This window comes from Homo sapiens, chromosome 20, assembly GCF_000001405.40.
Source record: "Homo sapiens chromosome 20, GRCh38.p14 Primary Assembly".
NCBI classification, from domain to species: domain Eukaryota; kingdom Metazoa; phylum Chordata; class Mammalia; order Primates; family Hominidae; genus Homo; species Homo sapiens.
This window is the reverse complement of record NC_000020.11, coordinates 12,394,884-12,401,926: the sequence shown is the minus strand read 5'-3', so window position 1 is coordinate 12,401,926 and position 7,043 is coordinate 12,394,884.

The following is a 7,043-nucleotide window of genomic DNA, read 5'->3' as shown; positions in this document are numbered from 1 at the left end:
AATATACTATTATATTCACATAACAAGTGCCCAGTAAATAATTGGTGGATAAATGACAGGATAAAAGAAGTCTAAATCCTGGCATCTGTGGGAGTCATTAGTTTCTGCCAAACACTCTGTCTTTGCATCTTCCAGCAGAAAGAATAGGGCTTTATGACTAGTTCTAATCAATAAGTTATGAGCTGAAGCAGCACTGTGTCACTTCCAGGCTGGAGAATTTAATTGGAAGACATTATAAAGCTTTATATTTCCCTTTGGCATGATGAGAAGCAATGTTTGCAATGGTGACTGCTCCATGTGTAGCAGGAATGAGCAGAACCTCCCATTGACCTGCAGTAGACATATAGAAGCTTAGAAGCAAATTATTGGTGCTTTAAACCGCTGACATTTGAGGTTTGTTTGTTACTGTAACATAACCCAACATATACATTTTCTCTGCAAATCTATACACAAATTAGACATATGTTTAGCATCACATTCAGTAATTTCAAGCGTTAGGGCAGTGCTTCTTACCTTTGTTTACGAGACAGGACGTTTCTAACATGTTCTGGGGCTAAGAAAACTTGGGTCAAGGTCTAGATATAGCCACAGATTAGATGGGTAACATTAGGTAAATCATGAAATCACTCTGACCCTGTTTTCTTATTTGAAAAGAAATAAGAAATCAACACTCTGGGCCAGAGAAAATAGTGAATGGAACCTTACTTTCCAGGGAAACTTTGCTTTTAATATTTAGCTCACTAGACCATCAAGCTGCTGTTTTTCTCCTTTCTGCAAAGGTTTCTACTTCTTGTTCAGAAGCATTTGATCCTTTAAATATGAGCTTGCTGTCTTGGTTAGCCCCATGGCCCTAGCAAAGTTAACTTTTGGAGACTTTCACATTCTTAAAGAATCTTTTCAGATCATTGTAACTCCTTGCAACTCCCCTTCATCGAGGTCACTGCAATCTCTAGATATTAATTCTGTGATTATTTACATATTAATCACTTCACTAAATAAACCACATGTCCCATGATGAAAAAGTCTATATAATACACTCAGTTGTATAGCACAGTGTGTAACACATAGTAAGAGTTCAATGAACAACGGGCAAATTAATGAATGAATGAGTGACAGGCCTCCTTTCTTTACTGTGTCACTCCACCAAGACCAACACTAAAGTTGGGTTCAAAAATGTTTGTCGAATCTGAATGCTTAGAAAGGAAAATGATCTAAATAAAGTGATTTTACCTCAAGCATACCTGAAACTTTCCTATTTAGATGTGTTTACATCTTAAAAAGGGATCTATAGGCTAGGTGTAGCGGTTCATGCCTGTAATCTCAACACTTTGGGAGGCTGAAGTGGGAGAATGGCTTGAGGCCAGGAGTTAAAGACCAGTCTGGGAAACACAGTGAGACCTCATCTCTACCCATGCCCTCCCCACCTCACAAAAAAAAAAATTAGTGGGCATGGTGGTGCATGCTTGTAACCCTGGCTACTCAGGAAGCTTAGGCAGGAGAATCACTTGAGCCCAGGAGTTCCAGAATACAGTGAGCTATGATTGCGCCACTATGTTTCAGCCTGGGTGAACAGAGTGAGACCCTCTGTCTCTAAGAAGAAATAGGGTTTATATAGAAAAGGCTATCTAAACCAAATAAAAGACTATCTAATAGTAGAAATTCATGACTAAAGAGATATTTAACAGAAAAAGGACAGGAATGCATTGTGAAGCTCTTTCATATGCATTATGATGTTGCTCTTCAAATTGTACCATCTGCGTAATTGTTTACTCATAAGGCCAATGAGGATTAAGAGATGAGAGAGGCAAAGAAGTGTTTGAAAAAAACACACATATTTTTTCTAAATCAGTATATTTTTTATTCATTTCACCCTCATTAAAAGTGAGTAACTAATTGAATTAGTTATTAGTATGTCCTAGAAATTATAACCATCCTTTGAAATGTAAATGTTTAGATGTATGAAGAACAATTAAAGAAGCAACCCAAAAGAAGATTATTTAACGCATTGTGAAGTAGCCAAAACATTTTAGGTTGTGCTTTTCACGTCAATTTATTTGGCAATGCTTCACCATAATGTGAAATACCAAAATAACTTAGGCACTTAGGCAAGGATATCTTTTTTTTTTCTTTAGCAAGAATGAACTGTAAAACATTCTGTGCTTGGATATAAAACTGGAATCATAGGACTCAAGAAGTAATTCCTCATCATAAATGCTAACTCTATAAAGAGTAAAAGAGTAACAAGTCTGTAAAGAGTGTGGGTTTCCATCTGAATGTACGGATGCTGAACCAAATTATATAAATACTTGGTTTGGATTGGAAACCAACTCATTTAGCACTGTGTCAATAGCCCTAAAAACTGCATGTTTCCTATTTTATACATATCATCTGCTCAATTTGCCTTTAATTTACTGTATAAGTAGTGTGACCTCATTTCACGGAAATGAAGAAAACCTCAGATTCATTCAGAAGCAATAATTATGGATTGCAGAAGGATAACATAATGAGAAGATCCCGTTTGCATAAAATTGCTATTTGAGTGTTGGATGCTAGTGTTGGCTTTATCAGGGTTTGACACATCTGCCAGACTCAGCTATAGCTCCAATGGGAAGCAAAAATTTAACGTGAGTGCTGAAAATGTTAAAGCCTATAAGATTTATAGGAATGGGTGTCTCAGCTGATGTAACAAGTTATCTTTCTATGTAATATCATTATCATGTGCCTGCCAACTTCCTAAGCCTGTATGAGGATTATTTTATTTCAGACTTAAATTGACCCTCTGAGGCCAGCATTATCATTATCATTCCCATTTGACAGATGAAGAAAGGAACTTGCTGAAAGCTATGCAGTTAGACGGTGACAGAACCCAAACCACCAGATCTGAATATAGAGCCCAGACTCATGACCTTCTTATTACATTACCTCTTCTCTCTCTTTAATTATCTTGTATCCATATATCCATCCATCTATCCATTACTTTCATTTCTTTCACTCATCATCTCTGTCTGTCCATCCAATCATATTATTTCTTTGCCTTTCTCTGTATCTCCATGTGTCTCTCTGTCTTCCTGTTTGCTCTTTCTAGCTCTGTGACTTTCTCTAACTCTGTCTCAGACCCTGTGGATTACTATCTGTCTCCCCGTTTTTCCCTGTGTCTTATTCTTTCATTCTCTTTCTCTCACTCATTCAATCTCTCTATTTGCATAATTAATCCATCTATCATCCATTTATATACCCATCCATGGATGCATTAATCTTTATTTTTCCATCTGCCCATCCAACCATCCATCCACCCAAGCTTTCTATACCTCCGTCTCCTCTTCTGAATATGTCATATACTTTCTCTCTGAGTCTCTCTCCTTATTTCTTTATTTTCCCACCCCCACCATCCTACTATCCTCCTCTCCCTCTCTCCATTCAAAATTGCTGCAAATCCAAGTATTTTAGGCCTGTCCTTTCATCCTCTGTCCCTCCAAAGTCAGGAAATGTGCCATGCGTCACCAAGGCAGTAACAAAATCTATGTACTGGTCAACCAGAGGTCGATTCTGTTGCTACTAGACTACAAACAAAGTATTAAAGGAAATTATTTATGGATCTCTTGCATTTCTGCACATCTTGTGAGTGAGGCATAATCTGCTTTTTGTTCCAGGTTATCTTTTCAATGATATTTGTATACTTAGCAGCCTTGGAAGACAAAGATAGTGTCTCCCTCTGATGTCAAGGGGAGGTTTGCTCATATCCTTGGAAGGTAGGTACAGTATCTCCTTCTAGAGGAAAAGGCAGGCATTTTTACTACCCAGGATAATAAAATAATGTCTCCTTCTGAGCAAAGGGAGAGCTTGCCTGCCAATATACAAGCTTCAGATTCCTTAAGCTCAAGGTCTCTCCTCCCTTCTCTAATGCAACCTACTACATGTATAGGCATCCATTTGGGCCCACTTGCATAGCCCCTGTTGGACTTGAGGGTAAGCAGAACCAACAAAAATAAGTGAATGTTCATGCTTCTTGGTGTGCCCTGAGTGAGAAAGTCCTTTTTTCTCTGACACAGGAGTCTCCTATATTCTGCCTGCCTCCATGAAACTATGGCAGACCCGCCCATTTGTTTGCAAGTGGAGGGAAATCTCAGCCCCTTCTGAGTTATTGAATCAAAGCTATACCTTTGTTTACTCGGTCTCATGGCAACATGATACTGAACATCAAGTTATTTATATCTTGAATAGGAGAATATTTTAACTAAATTCTTCTAGCCTCCTATTTTCCATTGGAAAACAGCACCTATTTCAACAAGAAACTCAGGATCTCATTGGTCTATCTGCTATTTTCAATAAGGAAGAAAATCCTTGAAGACTTAATTTGTGGGGTGGAGCTGGTTTGTCACTTGGGTGTCAATGAGGCAGAAGGCTTCACATGGCTTCACATGGTCAATGTGGCCTGAAAGAGCTGAATGTGGGGGAGTGTGACTGTATCAGAGGACCTTGGTGCCCCAGCTCACAGTCTCAGCCTCACTGCAATCCCAGGTGCGGGTGCAGCAGGCAGGTCCTTATAGGCGTAGACTTCCTCTGTGCCCACTGTATCTCATCTCAATTGTTTCCTGTGAGTCTTTCTCTTTCTATTATGGGGCTTCCCTCATGCTTCAGAGGCAACACAGACCATTCATCAGGTATGGATGGACTTCCTGGAAGTACAGAGCTTCTAGGACCTCCAGAGACAGCCCTCAAATATCGGGGGATAATCATTTCTCCCTGTTGGTTCTCAAATTGAAGACTCTGAGAGACATCTGTAAGCTGTTTAGAAAGTTCTAGAAAGGATTGAATCCAAGTTTTTCATGGCAGTGACCCCAGGAAAATGCTTCTCATATTGGCTCTTCCTCCCTTCCTCACACTCTCTTGTTCCTCTGTCCTAATCTCTAGGATCACCTCACGAATAAACTGCCTGTACACATGTCCTGGCCTCATGGGGAAAATACAAGCCAATCCAATGGTAGAGCAGAAAGACCAGGGTCTCTGGAATCAGGCAGACTTGGGTCTGTGCATCAGCTCTGCCAGTTTTTACCTAGGAGACCTTGAACAAATTGCTTAACGTCTCTGAGCTTTAGATTCTTCATTTGTAACATGGGAAAAAATAATACTTTGTAGAGTTATATATGGAATATTGATAATGGATAAAAAGCATTCAGTCCTTAGTACAGGGTCTTTCACAACATCAGTGCTCAACAAATAGCTGCAATTATTGTTATTACAGCCTGAGCAAATCCCAGGGGCACCCCAGGCACTACAGGTGCAGAATTGTGATGTTCTGACTTTAATGGCTGTCCCAGGATGCTAAGCTGTAGAGCTTAATCACTTTAAGGACCCCAAACCACATCAATTATTTATAAATTACTGTTTATAGAAATGGCTGCATCATAAATAGCTTCTAGATTCTATAAATGTATTTATGCATATGTGGCAAATACAAAGATAATATATTTGAAGCATTAAGCCATTTTTAGTTGATTCCTTGTACTTTCCTCTGTCCAGTCAGGTTAGGAATTGTATATTTGAGACAACAGGGAAGAGATGATACAGAAAAAACATAAATTTTAAAAAAATTCTTACTCTTTTTAATTTTTCCAAAAACCTGGAGCAGAGATCGTAGCTTTAGGAGAAAGTCTTCTCTTCTCACTAAATAGGAAAAACTTCCCAGAGTATAAGATAAATTATGGACAGTAGAGGTTTAGAACGAGACCATGGTGAAACAACATGGGAAGTATGAAGGCAGGATTTGGAGAGGCGCATCCACTCAGGTGAGCTCCATCTCATGCCCCCTGGAGTTGTGTGGGATATGAATGAGGTCCCACAAACAGTCCAGTGCATTTCAGCAAGTACTGTGTTTCCTCTGGTGGAGATGTTAGTTGTTCTGCCTGTTGTCACCTATTAAAGAACAACTTTCAACAGTAGCTGGATTTCCAAATGGCCTCCGAAACTGCTGGGTCAGCATTCAACTTATTCATGTGGAAAATTCTCTTTACTGCATTTCAAGACACCTAGAAGACCCTAAATGAAAAGTAGTCCTAAGGATAAAGGTAGGAGAGGATTACATCTTTGGAACAACTAGCAGGACAGACTTCCACCCACAGGCCAAGACAGTGGTAAATCAAACCCCATGAGACATGCATTAGTTATCAAAATATGCCACCTTGTCTACTTGTTTATCTGGTTTATGCTAGTCACATTCCACAATCTCCAGGAATCCTGAAGTGCAAAAGGCACACATTCTTATGGGTTACAGCCCAAGAGGAGGCCATCCCTCTAAGATGTGAACTGTGAACTGAACTTCAAGTGAACTCTCCCACTTAACCCCAATGTGTCATTTCCAGAAAATTCTTACATTACAGTCACTAATGAACTAGACAAATGGGTATCTGTGAACACCGCAGCTAAGAGGCACATCTGGGTAGAAGCGGTTCCTGCTGGTGGCTGAGTAGTGAGATGTCTTAAACGTGGATGGCAGCCTCAGGGCTTCTGAGATTATCACACTCAGCAGGCACAGGGCACTGACAATTTTAAATGGGGTAAAAGCTGACAGCTGCAACCCTTTCCTTCACAAGTTCAGTGGGAGCCAATGGTCTTGAACTACATAAATGTCCTTTCACCAGGAAAAGGTTGGTGCATTTTGCAGGAGAGGGCACTGAACTTCTGAAAGACACTGAAAAAAATATCTTTTCTTTGACCCAGCTACCTGGTCCCCAACCCCAGGAAAACGCCTTTGTAAGATATCTCTGTTTCAGCTGGTTAGTGGATAATGAGTGTATTATTATAGTTATCTAGAGATGAGTAACAAATTACCCAAAACCTAGCAGCTTAAAACAACAAACATTGTCTCATGGTTTCCGTGGTTCAGGAACCTGGGCAGCTTAGTTAGCCACATGACCCTGACTCGAAGTCTCTCACAAGGTTGCAGTCAAGCCACTGGTGGCTCTATAGCCCCATCTGAGGGCTGCAGTCCTTCACCACACATGCACTCCACAGGGCTGCCTCATGACATGACAGCTGGCTTCCTT